Source organism: Homo sapiens, chromosome 10 (genome assembly GCF_000001405.40).
Source record: "Homo sapiens chromosome 10, GRCh38.p14 Primary Assembly".
NCBI lineage: Eukaryota > Metazoa > Chordata > Mammalia > Primates > Hominidae > Homo > Homo sapiens.
The window spans coordinates 105,208,676-105,228,752 of NC_000010.11; the positions used below are offsets into that span (position 1 = coordinate 105,208,676).

A 20,077-nucleotide genomic window follows, 5' to 3' on the forward strand; every position below is an offset into this window, starting at 1 on the left:
AATGTATGCTTTAAGTATTATCTTTGTAATATAATTTATGTAATTGAAATTTCATACAGTTTCATTTTTAATAGTGGCTTTAACAACCATTAATTAGCTTGCAAAATTTCTGAGATGTTAACTGTGAGCTCTCATGGGCTACTACAAGCTGGCACAACACTGAGTCCATACGAACTGTCAGACTGAGATCTCCAGTAGTTAATCAGAAGCCTTGACCAAAACATTTACTTGGCAGCAGTGTCTGTTTCTCCTTCCTTCCTTCCAGCTTCATTTAAACATGCCAATATAAGACTGATCTCAAGTTCCACCTTTCTATGTAGAAATCCATGATTCTTGTCACATTAACTCCACAGGAATCTGTTGGGCACTTGGGGCTACTCTCTGCAGTCCACATTGTAGCATCAGTTATGGGCCCACAGTCTTCCTGCAGAGATAGATGTAATGCAATCATGTAATGCAATGGGATAATTTTTTTTTTCTTTTGAGACGGAGTTTCGCTCTTGTTGCCCAGGCTGGAGTGCAGTGGTGCGGTCTTGGTTCACTGTAACTTCCACCTCCTGGGTTCAAGCGATTCTCCTTCCAAGCCTCCCAAGTAGCTGGGATTACAAGCTCCTGCCACCATGCCTGGTGAATTTTTGTGTATTTTTAGTAGAGACGGGGTTTCACCATGTTGGCCAGGCTGGTCTCAAACTCCTGACCTCAGATGATCCACCCGTCTCGGCCTCCCAAAGTACTGGGATTACAGGTGTGAACCACTGTGCCCAGCTGCAACTGCTTTCTAATGTAATTGGAATTCATTTACCCAATAAATATTTAATGCCTGAAATGTCCTAGGTACAGTTCTAAATTCATATTGGCCAAAAACAAACAAACAAACAAAAACTGAAAATTATCCCTGCTCTTTTGTAGCTTCCACTTATAGTTACCAACAGGTTATGACCCCAGAGATTTTGTCTGGGGAAGCAGTGATGGCCTTCTATGACCTAGATATTAAAGAAGGATAAGTAGGAAACTACCAAACATAGAAAAAAGTGGAATGCTTCAAGCCTGAGGGATTACATATAGAAAGATAAAGAGGGTTGAAAAGGCTGGCTAGAAGTGTTCAGTTAAGAGTTTGATGAGAAGATAGGTAAGAAGGTGGGGTGGGGTCAGACTCGGAAGATATTGTGTACGATCTCATTAATCAATTGGTTCTTCTTAGCTCTACTGTTTAGTGCTGTGTTGCATATGGTTTTATTCTGTTCTTTAGTCATGTTTGGGGTATGCTGTATCTCTCTCCCCCAAAGACTGAAAAACCTTTGAGGACACGGATTATCACACCTTTTTAAGTTTTTTATTATTATTATTATTTTACAGGGCAGAGCACATAGTGAGTTGTAAATAGATGTGGAATTAAATTTAAATTTTTAGTCCCCTCTCCCCTTCATTCCTGTTGTAGATATACACACAGAAAATTTGCCTCTGTTTTCATTGGACTTCCACAAAATCTTGGCTCAAAGAATATACAGGAAGCAGAAAAAGAAAGGAGTTGTGGGTTCTGAGAAAGCAACTTCTTTTCTGCTGCTTCATGTTTTATTAACACTTAATGGATTAATATTTATATGTTCAGTTTATTTTGCCCCATCGGTGGGTTTCAGAAAACCCTAAGATGCTTGACTTAGAAACATGAATTCAGCCAAGTGAAGCTACCCTCAATGATCTCTGGTTGGCTACAAGAGCAATAATACCTTCTACCTACTTTATTGTTCTTCTACTTTGACATTTACACACCCAGGAGTCTTCTGAAACTCCAAGAAGTAGGGAAGCACTGTTTGGACTTCAGATAGGGGACCTCCTTTTCTACACTGCTCTGTTACTTTCCCATTTTGCATCAGGGAGAAGAGGGGAAAGAAATAGTAGCGGACTTTCTTTCTTCATTTTATTATGGCTAGGATTTTAAAGAAACACACAAAAAGAGCTACAGTGTAGTTTTATTTTATTTTTAGGGAAATAGGGGCCTTTGTTTTATCTCATCAGGAAAAGTTTGAATGACTCTATGTGTCCATGTGAATGGACATGTATATACTTGTTTCAGAGAGGGTGAGTCATTGTCTTTGTTGTCATGTACTTATTTCAATAATTCTACTGTGACTTAAAATGTATTTTTAACAGCATCCTCCGCATTTACTCCCAAGCCAATGTACCTGCCACATTATTTATATCAATACCTTTTTAAACCTAGAATTTCTATTTGCTAAGTTGCTATTTTGTTCTGTTGACTGGACTCCAAATGATTTGGAATTATTTATAAAGCTAAAAGTTCATTTTCAAAATATGAATATTTACCCTCACTGGGGATATTTAAAACAATGTGTTATGACTTTCTGGATGGCAATAGGGACATGTATATGTTTGTGTGTGCCTGCGGTTATTTTAGCGTTTGTACATATATACTACTATGCAATATTCATTTTCCTGACAGTGACTATGGGTATGAGAGACATGGGGAGAGCCAGTGTGTCCCAGCTTTCTGGTACAATCCAGCATCCCCATCAAAGGACTGCAGCCTTGGTCAAAGCTACCTTAACAGCACTGGGTAAGTAAAACACCTACAGGAACTCAGCTCCCTGTTTTCCTGTTTCTCTAAACTAGGACCAAAGGAAATGCATTGCTATTGAATACAATGGAGTGAAGATGGAGTCTGTTTATAACAAATGGCATTTGAAGGGAAGTGAGGAGTTCTTTAGCTGAGAGTATCTATTTGGGGAGCATCAGAAGAGATTTCTGATCAACCAGATTTCAATAACTTTGAATATTTGCTTATGATAGACCATAGTTACTGTTTTGGTTAATCCTTCTCTTCTGGAAGGTCATGTAGTCTTATTCCTTGACACTCAAGTGAATTAAATTCATACAAGTGATGTGCAGATATTACACTACTCTCTAGTGAAAGATGAACTGAAACTCTGTGACACTGATGCTGAAAACTTAAAATGAAAATTCAAAAGTTCCATTCTAGGAATTCCTGGAATAAAAATGTCAAGGATCCCTTTCAGGAATTCTCAAATGACGTGTGTGTTTATCTCTTTGTTCATGTATTAGTTACTCTTTCGCATGCTTGAAAAACATTTTCTTGAAGATTTGTTGTCTTGCCCTTTCCTTTGCTGCCTCTATAACCAAGAACGGATTTCACAAGTGGATGGGTGGTCTAAGACAGCACCTCTCAAATGTTAATGTGCCTATCAATCATCTGGGGATCTTTTTAAAATGCAGCTTCTGATTTGGGAGATCTGGGGTGGTGGGGAAATTTTTCCTTTCTGTGAGCTCCGATGTGATGTCGATATTGCTGGTCTCTGGACCAGAGTTGTTCTGGATGCCAGTCTTAACTCTCCCAATGGATCTTCTGTCATCTCAGTCAAGTTATTCATCTTCTTGATGCTTTTGTCATAGCTAGTTGTAACATAATCAGTTAGGTAGATGTAGATAGGTTGAGTACTATCTACCTAACTGATGTCAACAAAGGAAAAAATATGATGAAAAAGAAGTGCTGACTGGTCTGAGATACTCTGAAATGCATGCCAACTATTTAGTTCTGGGAGGGCTATTCCTGGAGCCTGAGCTAAGGCTCAAGGATCTTTGCTGTTATTTAATTGTAGGAGTCTAGTTTAGGGACTTAAGGCATTCAAATTGCAGATCCAACAGCATGAAGTTAAAGAGATTGTGGTGTCAGAGAATAAAGTGCCAGGAAGTTTGAGGAAAGGGAGTATTATGCGCACAAGTTATTAGCTGGGCCACCAATTTCCCAGTCAGGGCCTAAGCTGAATGTGATTGCAGGTTAAAACAGAATTATAAAAGAATTGAATTAAAGCATTTCATAGGATCATGTGACATGTGTAGGTAGACCACATTTTAAGCAACTTAGTTATGCCAAAATCCCAAATAGCTAACAAAATAATTCAGGAGAATGAAAAGGAATGGCAATTAAAAAAAAAGAAAACAAATATGCTACAGATGTCTACCAATACCTCCAGATTGTGTAAATGTTGGCTTATGTTTACAAAATCATCAACCAGCTTGAGTTAATGGCCAATTGAGGCTGAAAAAGAAGAGTAGATGATATCAAGTTTGTGTTAGGACATGGTACCCACTGAAATACCTATCATCAGTAAAAACTGAGTGTCTTGTAACTATGCATCCTGAGAAAGTATAAATTGATTACAAATCTTGACTGTCTAGACCAGTGATGACCAAATTAACTATAATATGAGGCATATATGTAATTTCAGATTTTCTAGTAGCCACATTAAAAATGTAAAAAATAAGGTGATATTAATTTTAATAATGTTTTCTTTAACCCAAAATTTCCAAAATATTATCATTTCAACTGTCACACTAATGATATTTCAAGTGCTCAGTAGCCACAAGGTGCGCTACCATATTGCCTACCATATGGACAAGTGGTGCTATGTTAACCAGAATAACTTTAGACCCATTATAAGCTCAGTTGACAAAAAAGATGTATATATGCAAGAAAATATATCATAATTTGATCTGAGACAGTAATGACATACAACATTAGCTTAATATCCCCTGGGATCCCTGAATGGAGGTATAGTTCAGCAGTGGGGTGGCAGGGGGTACCCAGGGAAAATGTCAGGTATGATGGAAGACTAATATCTTTCAAAAAGAGTTATAAATTTCTCTGTTTTTGAAACCACCATAGGAAGGCAACATAGATGGATTTGTTAATTATTCTTGACATAGTGAGTGAAAGAAGACAAAATGTAATGGGCATGTAATGGTGATGATGATGGTGATAATAATGCTGCTGGTGATGATGGTGGTGATGGTCATAGTGGTGGTGTGTTTCTTTCATGTGGTTTTTTACCAGAACATTTGTTTTTTCAGTGCAGCCTTATAGATGGTCATGTGCCTGGAAATATGCCCATCATGCAGATCAGGGTTGTAGGAAAGCTCTTGGCTTGACTTCATATGCTGGGGTTGGTGGGCAAGGAAGATGACATGGTGTCATTGTACATAATGATGTCCTTGTCACAGAAGGTCATAGTGCTTTGTCAGGTGATTTTCCCATGCCGACCTCCTCTATAAGATAATTTTACATAGTGGGATAGTGAGATTGAATAGGAGTTTCAAATCTGTGCTTCTAATCTGGAGTTTATGCTGAGTGGGAAATGAAATATTAGCAAGGAGAAAAAAAATGTGCTCTGAAACAGCCCAGTGGCTCCACAGAAAGGGCTATTAGGCATTAGGGGAAGGAATGATGCCCTGGAGGAATAGGGAAGATAGGAATCAGCCTCCTGATTAATCAGAGTTAGAAAAAGTCTGATGTTCTACCTGCTTTCTGGTACAGAGAAAGCTGGAGATGGCCTCTGGGAGATAGAAACAGGTCTGTCCCTCACAAGTAGAAGCACCTGCTTTTCCCATTTCCTGAGTCCAATGAGTCTGCCTCCTCTTTTGTTGTGTGAGTCAGACATTGATTTTCCTTGTCTGGTTTAGACACTGATCCAATCTGTGGCTCACCAGGTAGGATCAATAATAACGTTTAAGGAGCTACTCTTACCAAGATGGAGGGATAGCAGGTCCTCAGCATTTGTTCAGCTTCGTAAATGACTGTCTTTTTGAGACTTGGTTTCCAGGGGCCGCTGTGTGAAGCACCTGTTTTGCTCTTGCTCTCTTACATTCCCTTTATAACACACACACACACACATACAACAGCAACAACAACACAATCAACACAAACCACTATCAATTGTCAATTCTACTTAGGTATCGGCGGATTGTGTCCAACAACTGCACAGATGGGCTAAGGGAGAAGTACACCGCCAAGGCCCAGATGTGCCCTGGAAAAGCCCCTCGGGGCCTCCATGTGGTGACGACCGATGGGCGGCTGGTGGCAGAGCAGGGGCACAATGCAACTTTCATCATCCTCATGGAGGAGGTAGGTGCTCAACTGGGTCTCTGAGGTCAGAACTCCCAACCAGACCATTCCCAGAAGGGAAGAAGAAGATCTTACATTCCCACAGACCCCTGCACCAAAGTCAATGGTGAGAAGCTGAAATTTCTGGAAAGAAGACAGACAAGGGTGAAAGAGGGCTTAGGGTATTTACTGACCCTCCTCCCTTTATCCCACAATAAAGACCCAGTCCGCAGTGGGAGCCCACTTGCCTCTGGAGCATGCAGATCTGGATATATTCTTCAGGGTCTCCATTAAAGTCTGCTTTGCTGAGGAATATTTATTACCATAAGACCATAAACTGTAAACTTGGCCAGAGGAAGGAAATGTGAATTTTATCTGTTGCTTTTAGGAGCCTCTTTTGCTTTATTCTGACCCTTAATCCCACTGATTAGAAAAGCCCACAAAGCTTTCACAAGGCCTTAAAAGTAAGAGCATGAGGATGGGGAAGATTATTGAAATCCTTTAAAGTTATCTTTATAAAGAATGTTGTATTAGTTGCTTTTCTATCAGCTAGATGCTGTATTCTTTCACTTTTTTAGTGTCTTCTGAAATCTGGGCAGTAAAATCAGACTACATACATTGATTCCAGTATGGGAATATCTCTGTTGTCTGCTTCTTTTATAAGCTGTTGAATTGCTTCCTATACTAGGGCATTTTAGGCACTCTTTGCTGAGTGGTAGAGCAGGAAGGCTTGCTTGATTGACACAGCCCTCTAAATTTATATGCAAATTGCTCTGTGCTCTTGAGATCTTGGAAAGAAGGCAAAACAGGCCAGGAGTCATTTTTTTTCACAAGTATGAGCACTTCAGAAACCTTTAAAAGTCAGGAGCACACTGGACAGGGTGGTGAAGGTTCCTTATCCTGGGTTGACAGATTTCTCAGCCTTCACTCACAGCAGGTGCTGGAATTAAAGGACTTTAAGATTCAGAGGAGGTCATTATCACATTTCCACTAGGGAGTTTCCAGGACCACAGCTATAAAAACCTTCTCTTGAATGGGTGTGAAGAGCCACGATCTTATCCGTTTGAATTGCCTCCAGTTCATTTCCACTTTAATTTATATTCATAAACTCAAGGATAGTTGACATTGTGTGGGGGGCAAGAGAGTACCTATCAATATTTCATTCACATCTGGGCTGCCATGGGGGAAGAAATGGAAAGTGAAACTGTGATCAGTGCACATTCACTGGGCAGAAGGATTGGCTCATAATTCCAAAATGATGTATTTCTCTCTTTATTCTATCACTCATCTTCATATATGAACAGAGCAATGCTATTCTTCATATAGGATCTTTGTTTTGTGGTCAAGTGCATTGTGTTGATCCAAAGTGTTGGCCCAATATAATGGTGGGGTGGGGGGGTGGGGACCAAGAAGAATGAGGTTCAGCATAGACCCTTAAGAAGCTAAGTGTTGGCTTGGGGTGGTGAGATGCATTCACCTGAATCATTGGCATCATGTTACCAGGTAGTACACAGAGAGCTCTTTCCAAGAGACAGAGATATCTGTGAACTGGGACAATCTGAAAAGGCTTCAGGGAAGAGGAGGCTTAAGTAGATTTAGGGAAGTCCAAGGATAAGAGAACAAGGGTATAATTTGGGGTGGTATGCAGTATTCATCTGTAGAATGGGAATCGCCATCCTATCCCTGCTGTTGTTTTGCAGATGGTGTTATATAATATGTATTAAGTGAGTAGCATAATTCTGGTAACATAGCAAATACTCAAAATAGGAGCAATTACAACTATAGCATGGCAACTGAGGGCATTATTATTGAAACCAGACTGGGTCTGGAACCTGGTCTTCCTGTACTCACTATGAAACTTTGGTCTAACTACTTATTTTTGTCCCCAGACAAATGGGGACAAAAATACTTTCTATAATATGGAATTATGAGGAGACTGCTTGCTTGGCACTAATAAAAAAAACCTCGGTAACTATTAGCTGCTACTATGATTGCAATTATTATTATGACACAAAAGGAGAATTAAACTATGTATGTGAGGGAGTCAGTGAAACCCTTGGCTTCCCTTCAGAACTTTACAGAGGGTCTACCTTGCCCACTATTGTCAGTGTCATACCAACTCAGCTTGCCCCGAGCTTGGGCGATGAGGACAATAGGTCCATAGTGCCTGCCCGTAGTACCCTGCGGATCAGATAGGAGTGTGATCATTGTGTTGCAGGTGTTTCAGCCCTTTGGGAAAGACTATGGGTCATCAGAGGTTGATGCTGAAGCAACAGGAGGAAGCATCAGATAGGAGTCTGGCTGGACCAAGTAAATTGACCCGTCTGCTATGCCATCTTGCAGGGTGATCTACAAAGGACAAACATCCAGCTTGACTTTGGGGATGGGATTGCTGTGTCCTACGCAAACTTCAGCCCCATCGAGGACGGCATCAAGCACGTGTATAAGAGTGCGGGGATCTTCCAGGTGACAGCCTATGCAGAGAACAACCTTGGCTCAGACACAGCTGTCCTCTTCCTGCATGTGGTTTGTAAGTAGGAGGCACCATCCCCGTTTTCCCTTTGTTCCCAGTTGGCAACTTGCTCTGTTCAGACTTCCTAAAATTCAGAGCTGAGCCCAGGTTCAGTGTGACTACTACAATTACCCAAACCAAATGGTGGAGATATGTACTCATCTGTGTTTCTGAGTATTATGGTACTGAAATAGATTGATTATTTTGAAGTTCGGATAACATATTACCACCTGGGCCGTCCTTTTCAGCACCACTCTGCTCTGATATAAATGTGTGCGTGCACACACATTCAGGTAAAAGTCTCCTCTCTTCCTTTTGGAGAATCCTCAAAATGAAAAAGATAGAAACAAGCCTTCTGGTTGATAGTCTCAGGCTCATTCTCAATCTATTATGAATGAAGACTGCACAAATCAAAGTCAACTGTTATTTGTGTTGTAAGAGCCAGAGAAGGATTAAAGAAACATGTTTAGATATTTTTAATTTAGAACTAAACACACACACAAAATTAATTTTTACATACAAGGTTACTGCAAGTTCATTCTGTTTTGACAATTCTAAGAACTCTCCAAAAATATTTTGTTGTGCTAGAATCTATTTCATTGCTATTGGCTGTTGCTTGGCACAAACCAAAAGAACAGTTGGTGTTCCAAAATATTTCATTTGTGCTGGATGCATTTTGTGTATTTTCTATTCTAGAATTTGATGCATGTAAACTGAAACTTTAATATTGTGATTTTAGGATGTCGGGTCGAGGAAATGTTGTCTTGGGGCTGGGATTGGTTTCCCACATGTGTATCAGTGATATTCGTGGGTCTAAGGACTTCCATGGTTCTTACTTACATACCCCACAAGAGTTTCCAGGTAATATGCTACATATAGTGAAAATCATAAGTTCTGAAAGAGTCTAAGTGAAAACAAGGAGCACCCTCCTATTAACAACTCAGTGATGGCATCAACTCTATTGTATAAACAACCTACACCTTAAGAGGTCCCTGGCAAACAGTAAGCTAGCTAGTCTCCTGGCTCTCCAGTCACAATGCCGGTAAAGGGACCAAAAGTGGTAAGGGATGTGTGTGAGAGGAGACCTGGATTATGTAGCTCAGTCATGTCCCTAAAAATGCCAGGCTACATGGCCATGAGATAAATGATTTCATTTCTCAATCTCCTGAACTCCAATTTTAAAATGGCTTAATTCTGACTGCTACCTTGCCTCGTGGGGCTTTTGTAATAGTAAACACACAAAAAACACCCAATCATTCACTAATTAATTTAACAAAAATTTGTTGAAGTCTTAAAATGTGCAAGGCACTCTGCTAGGCACTGGGAGGTAACAATGCAGATATGGCCCTCCTCTTACAGAGTTTCCATTCTGGTGGGGAAGTGGGGTGCTGCTACAAATGAGCCATAAATAGGCAAAGTGGTGAGAACCACACCACATCAACTACAACCATTCTGTGTCAGAAGCACCAGGTCAGAAACCCAGGTGGGTGATGTGCACGGTGTTCATGAGCCCAGGCTTCAGAACAAGGGAGATCTGTGCTTGAATTCTGATCACATTCCTTTGTTAAATGTCTACTATTGGTCAATGTTCTTAGCCTTTATAAACCTCCAATTTCTTATCTTCATTGCTGGCTGGGCGCGGTGGCTCACGCCTGTAATCCCAGCACTTTGGGAGGCCAAGGCAGGCAGATCACAGGCTCAGGAGATCGAGACCATCCTGGCTAACATGGTGAAACCCGTCTCTACTAGAAATACACAAAATTAGCCGGGCGTTTTGGCACAAGCCTGTAGTCCCAGCTACTAGGGAGGCTGAGGCAGGAGAATCGCTTGAACCTGGGAGGCGGAGGTTGCAGTGAGCCAAAATCACGCCACTGTACTCCAGCCTGGGAGACAGAGCGAGACCCCGTCTCAAAAAAAAATATATATATATCTTATCTTCAATGCTTAGCTAAAAGGGAGGCTGTGAGAATCAAACTGGATGAGGTGTGCATGTGTTGGGTATCCCCAAGACCACCACCAGGTTTGGTGATTCACTAGGCATACCCACAGGGCTCAGCTAAAGTTTCACTCATGACTATGATTCATTACAGCGAAAGGGTACAAAACAAAATCAGCAAAGGGAAAAGGCTCAGGGGGCAAAGTCTAGAGGAAACGAGGCAGAAGCTTCCATGAGTTTTCTCCCCACAAAGTCACACAGGACACTCCTTTATCCAGCAATGAGTTGTAACATGTATAAAAAGGCTGCCTAAAACAGAAACTCATTAGAGACTCAGTGCCCATAGTTTTTAATGGGGGCCAGTCATGTAGGTACCTTCTGCCTGGCATATACCAAAACTCCAGATTCCCAATGGAAAGCATTGGGAATAAACCATACTGTTTTCAAGAACAGTTTAGGCAGAGTGAACCACTCTTATCAGTTAACGGTTGACTGGATGTTCCCAGATACCAGCCTGGGGCCAACTTACATGCAGACCTTCCTCAGGACAGCAATTTCAGGTCCATGTTATCTTTTGGCACAGTGTGCAGAATGCTGCCTATCACCCAGCTTGGTGCATGATGAATTAGAGTATTTACTAAGTACTTCCTATTAACTTTGTACCTGACATTTTTGCTGCATTTAAAAATGAAGACAAAGAAGGAAAATGAACTTCACATTCCTCTATTCCAAGGACTTGCCTCACCCACATTTCTGATTCTGCCAAGAGTGGGCCTTGCCTTCAGGGTATGACAACCAATGTATCTTACTGGCAAAAAACACAACAGCAAGGAAGAGGTTTACACTGTGGCTTATGTGCATGAGGGAGGAAATGTTCCTTGAAACTTTTATCGTGCTTATAATTCCCTCCAAATCAATCATGGCTGCATTTTCCAGATAGTTTTTATTGTGGAGACTGCTCTTGGCCTTACCCTGGGCCATTAGCTAACAAAAGTAGTTGTTAGCTGCCCAAAATAACCAATCTCGCACAGATTATTAGATTTTTATCAAAAGGGGCACTATTTGACAGTGAGGAATTTAGGACTTTTCTCTGTTCCTTCCTGAATCTGCTCAGCTCTCATCTCTTCTCATTGATCCTTGGTTTGTCTCCACATCAAAGCCCAGGGGTTCCTGGCTCAGAATCTTTGCCCTAAAAAAACTGCTATATGGTAGTGTTCCTTAGGATTATTTTTAACCAAACATGCTTGTCCTGAAGCTGAATAAATGCAACCATGAGTGATGGTCTTTCAAGTTGTGAACGCCACATCCTTTTTGTGTTTGGTGTGAGTTTATGGAGAAGGGGGTCTCCTTTTATCTTCTTGGGTATCAGAGGATCTGACACTGTCAGCTTTCACTGAGCCAAGGCCCCCAAGTGATAGAAAGCCAAGAAGAAACTCAAGGCCATGAACCATAGCTGCATCATTGCTTAACTGTGGAAGATCCCAGGGTTCCCATGAGGTGTGTTGGGGAATGGGCTTCATGCTTTCTGGAGGATAGCAGTGAGAAGAGAAGCAGTGACTTTGAAGGTAAAAGGGTCCCCTAAAGGGGCCCCTTTTCTATCAGGAGAAAAATGAGAGATTTGAATCTGGGCATGGAGAAAGAAGTTTTTCATCTCCCCCCTTGGATGTGGACTAGCCAGGAGCCCCGCCCCACAGCCTCTTTCTCTTCCCCATTGATGAATAAAACACAAACTATAAAGGGACATAGATTAGGTAAACTCCTAAAAATGAGTAAATAAAGCAATGAAAGTATCCATTATTTTCCCACATCTAGTGCCTTTTTACCTCATGAACAAACAAATCATACAAAAATAATAACCAAAATTTCCTTATTTAAAATAAGTCAACCTTCAACCAGACGTGTATCTGAATTGACAAAGTTGAAAGTGTTTGCTAAGAGAAATCTTGAGATGCCATATGTTTGGGGTCAAGGCAGAGCGCTTTAGGCAGAAAGCATTCTCACACTGTAGATACTCTTCCTTTTAAGTATTCGGTTTTATTTTATTTTTAATTTTTGTGGGTACATAGTCGGTATATATATTTATGGGGTACATGAGATGTTTTGATACAGGTATGCAATGTGAAATAAGTACATAATAGAAACTAGGGCATCCATCCCCCTCAAGCATTTATCCTTTACACATACACTGGCCTGGCTTGTCTCCCCACCCAAATAGCAGTCACTGTCCAAACACTTTCCCCTTCAACATAAAATTACCTATGACACAGAATATGTCCAGTTAGACTCAGGAGAATGCTCACTGAAGTCCTTAGAGGGACTACTACCCAATGACAGAAACAGTGATGGCAGTGGTGGTGGTCGGCAGTAGTGGTAGAAATCATGACATTCTTTCATTAATTGTATGGTACTTTAAACAACCACATAACACATTCATATGTTCTTATTAATATAAGGAAGGCAGAGCAAATGTTGTCCCTTATTTTTAGAACAAGGTAATAGTCTGTGTAGGATTAAGACTCATAAGATAAAGGAAAAAATCATATGGGTACATTTGTGCCAGAGTTGAAATGAGAAACACTCATCTGTTTTCTTCCCTTTGAACTGACTTGTCTCCAGAATTACCAGGGAAGCAAATAAGGACGGCTAGATGGCCTGAAAAATCCTCCACCAATAAGAATTCAAGGCCCCCAGGCTGAAGAGATGTCTTTGCTACAGTTGTGGCTTAAGAACTTCGTATAGAAATCTCTTCAATTACTTGTTCTTATCAAATTGATGATGGTGGAAACCAAGAAAATGTGCTCTGACATAATAGGAGAGATTTACATATTTTAGTTGGATTTGTTTATGTAGGAAGGATTAAAGAAGAGAAAGAAGGAGGGAGGAAGACAGAAATATAGAAAGGAAAGTAAGGGAAGGAGTTAGGAAAGGAGGGAAAAAGGGAGAAAAAATCTTGCAGTGTTAAAAAACTATTTACCTCTCAGATGCAACACCGATACCTTAACACTTTTTTTTTTTTTTTTTTTTTTTTTTTAGTTAACATGAAGTTTTGCTCTTGTCGCCCAGGCTGGAGTGCAATGGTGCGATTTTGGCTCACTGCATCCTCTGACTCCTGGGTTCAAGTGATTCTCCTGCCTCAGCCTCCCAAGTAGCTGGGATTAAAAGCGGCTGCCACCATGCCCAGCTAATTTTTGTATTTTTAGTGAAGACAGGGTTTCACCATGTTGGCCAGGCTGGTCTTGAACTCCTACCTCAGGTGATCCACCCACCTCAGCCTCCCAAAGTGCTGGGATTACAGGTGTGAGCCACCGCGCCCGGCCGCATTAACACTGTTTCATCAGCTTTGTCCTCTTCTCATTTTAGTTTGGAAAGTAAAATCCTCACTTATTGCCTAGGGTGTGTTCATGTATATTCTTCTACTTGCTAGTTTAGAATATCATGCTGCTTATATCAGTTTTCTGAGGGAAAAAATAAGAAGCTTGGTTACCTTTCTGCAAGCAGATTTCTTATTATTTGGGAACCTGGCATTTGTTTCTAGTTTGATTTAGGGAGATATACTTTTCCCTGTTTGGAAAACAGCCTTGCCAGTTTCTGAATGACACCCACTGTATACTGCAGATGATGAGGCACAATGGCCAATTGTTGAAGGAGATGGAAACCCATTAACAATCAAGAATAATGGAAGAGCCTTCCATACAATACACTGACCCCAAATCACAATACAGGCTAATCATCAATAACAAAATAGACTGCTGTTTATCTTCCCATTTATTGGCTAAGTGTCTAGTAAATCAGCTTTGTCCTTGTATTAGAGGTTCATAAGCATCTGTGGTTAGACTTATCAGATGTAAATTTAGTTCAGATGCCACTCAAAAAATCTGAAACTTGATTTGAGTTCCCTGTTATATTCAGTACTTCATTTCAAGCGTGTATACACACCTCCCAATGTATATGGTTTTGTGACCCTTCCTTTTTTACAGGAGATGCGAATAGAATTTAAGGTTAAGAATCTAGGGGTGTGATACAGTTTGACCACATCCAGAATATAAACACTGACTTTTTTTTTCTGTTTCCTTAGGTCCTGTGGAGCATGTTCATCTCCGAGTTCCATTTGTTGCCATAAGAAATAAGGAGGTCAACATCAGTGCAGTCGTGTGGCCCAGTCAACTGGGGACCCTTACCTATTTCTGGTGGTTCGGCAATAGCACAAAGGTTTGGCCCTTTCTGATTGATGTCAAATTAGATCTGTACTGAATGCTCCTATGTTCCAGCTTTTATGTGTCTATTAGGGGGCACTGAGAATGCAGGCAATAAGAGGTACTTAATAAACCTATGAGCCCACAAAATTGAATAAAACATACCTCTTTACACCAAGTTCATTACTTTATTAGGGAAAGTTCAAATAATCCTAAGGAAGAAAGAGTACTTTGAGAAACTCTGCAAACCTGCATGTTCTTGCTTCTCTAATCAATATTTCTAAAATTTCATTCGTTCCATTTTGCTTTAATCTTGGCCTTGGCCTGGTTATATAATGTCAAAGAAGTTACTTAGCATCTCTGAGATTAAGTAGCCCTATCTGTCTAGATATCTAAATGTAGGGTTGCCAAAATTAAACAAGATAACCCAGGTAAAGAATCCTTATCAATACTTACTAGTTGTTCTAGAAATGCTAGCATTCTTTTCAGGCAAGGTGCTGAGGTTGCCACGTCTCAAAGAAAGGAACAAAAGAGGCCAAACTCTGGACTTGCCATATACTCCCTACTTCCAGCCATGGTGATGGCAACACCTGTGTCAAGCATGACCACAATTGTATGATAGAAGCTGGGAGCAATTTGGCTGAGAATTCCTCAGAGGTAATGTTCTTCTCTATTCCTGTTTTATAAAGAACACTTCATTTTTGAGGAGTTGTAAGTTCACAGCAAAATCAACAGGTGGTACAGAGATTTTCCATATATCCCCTGCTTCCACACATGTATAGCCTCCTCCATTATCAACATCCTCCACCAGAGTGTTACATTTGTTGTAATAGATGAACTTACATTAATACATCATTATCACTCAAAGTCCATAGTTTACTTTAGATTCATTTCTGGTTTTGTAGATTCCATAGGTTTGGATAAATGTATAATGACATGAATCTACCACTATAGTATCAAAAAGAAGGGTTTCACTACCCTGAAAATGCTCTGTGCTCCACCTATTCTTACCTGCCTCCTCCTTAATCCTTGGCAACCACTGATATTTTTACTGTCTCTGTAGTTTTGCCTTTTCCAGAATGTCATATAGTTGGAATCATATAGTATGCACTGTTTTCATATTGGCTTCCTTCACTAAGCAATATGCATTTAAGTTTCCTCCATGTCTTTTCGTGTCTTGATAGCTCATTTCTTTTCAGTGCTGAATAATATCCCATTGTCTGAATGTATCACAGTTTATTTATCCATTCACTCATTGAAGAGCATACTGGTTGCTTCTAAGTTTTGGCAATAATGAATAAAGCTGCTATAAACGTTCATGGGCAAGTTTTCTGTGGACATAAGTTTTCGACTACTTTGGATAAATACTAAGAGCATGATTTCTGGATCTTATGGTAGCAATATGTTTGGTTTTGAAATAAACCACTAAACTGTCTTCCAAACTGGTTGGACCATTTTGGATTTCCACCACCAATGAATGAGAGTTCTTGTTGCTCCACATACTCACTAGCATTTGGTGGTGTCATGTTCTGGATTTTGGTCATTCTAATAGCCATGTAATGATATCACATTTTTGTTTAAATTTGGATTTCCCAGATGACATATTATTTAGAGAAATTTTTCATATGCTTATTTCCCAACTATATAACATCTTTGGTGAGTTGTCTATTAAGGTCTGTGGCCTATTTTTAAATCAGATTGTTCCATTACTTATTGAGTTTTAATAATTCTTTGTATATTATTGGATAATCTTTTATCAGATATGTCTTCTGCAAATATTTTCTTCCACTCTGTGGCTTATCTTTTCAACTTCTTGATAGTGTCTTTTGTAGACAAAAGTTTTTAATTTTAAGGAAGTCCAGCTTATCAGTTCTTTTTTTCATGAATCATGCCATTGGTGTTGTATCTCAAATGACTTCTCCATACCCAACATCATCAATGTTTTCTCCTATGTTGTCTTCTAGGAGTTTTATAGTTTTGAGTTTTACATTTAGATCTATGATCCATTTTGAGATCATTTTTTAAAGGCATAAGGTTTATACCTAGATTCATTTTTTTTGGCATGTGGATATCCAGTTGTTCAAGCACCATTTTTTGAAAATACCATTTTTGCTCCATTGTATTAACTTTGCTCCTTTGCCAAAAATAAGTTGATTACACTTATGTGAGTCTATTTCTGGGCTATTTATTTGGTTCCATTGGTCTGTTTTCCTGTTTTTTTTCACCAATACAACCTGTTTTGATCACTGTAGATTTATAATAGATCTTGAAGTTGAGTAGAGTCAGTTCTTCAACTTTGTTCTCCTTCAATTTTATGTTGACTATTTTGAGTCATTTGCCTTGCCATATATACTTTCAAATCACTTTATCAATGTCTACAAACTAACTTGCTAGGATTTTGATGGGCATTGGATTGCATCTATAGATCAAATTGGTAAGAAGTGACATCTTCACAATATTAAGTATTCCTATCCATGAACATGGCATATCTGTTTATTTAGTTGTTATTTGATGTCTTTCAACAGAGTTTTGTAGTTTTTCCTACATGGATCTTGTACACATTTTGTTAAATTTATACAGAAGAATTTCATTTTTGATGGTGCTAAAGTACATGGTATTGGGTATTTTATGTTTTTGTTTTAATTGGTATGTAACACTACTGTTTTTTATATGTTGATTTTGTATTCCGCAACTTTACTGAATTTGTTGATCAGATTTAAGAGTTTTTTCATGGAGTCTCTAGGTTTTCTAAATATACATCAGCAACAGGGAAAATTTGACTCTTTCTTTTTAAATGTAGATTGGCTTTTATTTTTTTTTCTCTTGCCTGATTACTCTGGTTAGGACTTCCGGTCCTATATTGAATAGGAGTGGTGAAAATGGGCATCCTTATCTTCTTGTTCTAGGCTTTAAAGGAAAGGCTTTCAACTTTTCCTGATTCAGTATGATATTAACTATGGATTTGTCATATAGCCTTTACTACATTAAGGTACATTCCTTCTATGCTGGTTTTTTGAGACTTTTTATCATTAACGATGTTAATTTCATCAAATGCTTTTTCTGAATCTATTAACATGATCATATGTTTTTTGTCATTCACTCTATTGATGCAATGTACCACATTTATTGGCTTGTGTATGTTAAATTATACTTGCATCCCTGGGATAAATTCAAGTTGATCTTGATGTATATTTTTTTCTGACGTGCTGTTGGATTCAGTTTGTTAGTATTTCATTGAGAATTTTCAATCCTATATTCATCGAGCCTATTGGCCCATAGTTTTCTTTTTTTGTTGAGTTCTTGCCTGGTTTGAGTATCAGGGTAATGCTGGTCTTGTAGAATGAGTTAGGGAGCATTCCCTCCTCTTAAATTTTTTGGAATACTTTGTGAAGAGTTGATATTAGTTCATCTTTGAAAGTTTGATAGAATTCAGCAGTGAAGCCATCTGATCATAGACTTTTCTTTTTTGGGAGACTTTTTGTTACTAATTAAATCTCATTATCAGTTATTGGCCTGTAATCAGGCTTTCTATTTCTTCCTGATTCAGTCTTGGTGGGTTGTATGTGTCTAGGAATTTATCCATTTTCTCTGGGTTTTTCAGTTTCTTAGTGTATATAGTTGTTCATAAATGTCTCTAATGATCTTTTGTGTTTCTGTGGTATCAGTTGCAATGCCTCCTTTTCCATTTCTGATTTTATTTGAGTCTTTACTCTTTCTTGGTTAGTCCAGCAAGTGGTTTGTTGATTTTGTTTATCTTTTCAAAAAAACCACTTTTTGGTTTATTGATCTTTTGTATTATTTTTTTAGTCTCTATTTTGTTTAGTTCTCCTCTGATCTTTATTATTTCTTATCTTCTACTAATTTGGGGTTTTATTTGTTCTTGCTTTTCTAGTTTCTTGAGTTGCAGGTTGTATTATTTGAAATCCTTCTGCTTTTCTGATGTAGGTAATTATTGCTATAAGCGTACCTCTCAGCATTGCTTTTGCTGTATCTCATAGGTTGTGGTATGTTGTGTTTCTGGGTTTTTTTGTTTCAAAATTTTTAAAATTTACTGTGTAATTTCTTTCTTGACCCAACATTCAGAAGCATATCATTTAATTTCTATGTATTTGTACAGTTTCTAAAGTTCCTCTTGTTATTGATTTCTAGATTTATTCCATTGTGGTCTGAGAAGATACTTGATATGATTTCAACTTTACAAAATTTGTTTAGACTTGTTTTGTGTCCTAACATATGGTCGATCTTGGAGAATGTTCCAGGTGCTGATGAGAAGAATGTATATTCTCTAGCTCTTGGATAAAATGTTCTGTAAATATCTGTTAGGTCCATTTGGTCTAATGTGCAGTTTAAGTGAAATGTTTCTTTGTTTTCCGTCTAGATGATCTGTCTAATACTGAAAGTGGAGTGTTGAAGTTCCCAACTATAATTGTGTTGGATTCCATCTCTCCCTTTAGATCAACTAATATTTGCTTTGTATATCTGGGTGCTGGGGTATTGGGTGCATATATGTTTAGAATTATGATATCTTCTTGCTGAATTGATCCCTTTATCATTATATAATGATCTTCTTTGTATTTTTTGTTTTTTATTTTTTTTTACTTAAAGTTTGTTTCTTTGATATAAATATAGCTACTCCTGCTAATTTTCAGTTTTCATTTGCATGGAATGTATTTTCCCATCCATTTACTTTCAGTCTGTATATGTCATGACAGGTGGGATGAGTTCCTTGTAGGCAGCATATTGTGGTCATTTTGTGTGTGTGTGTGTGTGTGTGTGTGTGTGTGTGTGTGTGTGTGTGTGTATGTGTGTTTTAAATCCATTTCATTAGCTTTAACTTTACTGAGGAAAGTTAATTTGCTTACTTTCAAAGTTATTGATATGTGAGGGCCTATTTCTATCATTTCATTAATTAATTTCTGGTTGTTTTGTATACCTTTGTCCCTTTTCTTTCTCTCTTATTGTTTATCATAGTGGTTTTGTTTTGTTCTTCATAGTGATAACATTTGAATCTTTTATCTTCCTTTTTTGTTTGTTTGTTCTACCAGTGGCTTTTATATTTTCATGTGTCTGCCTGCCTGCCCTGCCCTCCATCACTCCCTCCATCCCTCCTTTCTTTCTTTCCCTTTCTTTCTTTCTCTCTTTTCTTTCTTTCTCTCTTTCCTTCTGTTTCTTCTTTCTTTCTCTGTTTCTTGCTTTCTTTCTTGCTCTTTCTCTCTCTTTCTCTCTTTCCCTCTTGCTTTCTTGATTTCTTTCTTTATTTCTCTTTCACAGGATTTTCTTAAGAATTTCTAATATGGCAAATCTAGTGGTGATGAATTCCCTCAGCTTTGCTTGTCTGGGAAATATTTCATTTCTTCTTCATTTATGAAGAATATCTTTGCTAGGTATAATATTCTTGGTTGACAGTATTTTCCTTTCAGCTGTTTGAATATGTCATCCTATTCTCTCCTGGTTTGTAAGATTTCTGATGGTAAATCCACTCTTGGTTGAATGGGGGCTCATTTATAAGTCACTAGATG

At 38.7% G+C, this 20,077-nt stretch overlaps 1 protein-coding gene across 2 annotated transcripts in view; it reads left to right on the plus strand.

Moving 5' to 3' along the window:
- SORCS3 (sortilin related VPS10 domain containing receptor 3) overlaps positions 1–20,077 on the plus strand; it is a 623,953-nt gene that overhangs the window by 567,386 nt on the left and 36,490 nt on the right. For both annotated transcript variants that reach the window (NM_014978.3, XM_011539542.2), the window contains 4 exons: positions 2,462–2,575; positions 5,767–5,938; positions 8,261–8,447; positions 14,441–14,574. In NM_014978.3, the coding sequence (NP_055793.1) occupies positions 2,462–2,575; positions 5,767–5,938; positions 8,261–8,447; positions 14,441–14,574 (607 nt within the window). The remainder of the gene's footprint in view (positions 1–2,461; positions 2,576–5,766; positions 5,939–8,260; positions 8,448–14,440; positions 14,575–20,077) is intronic.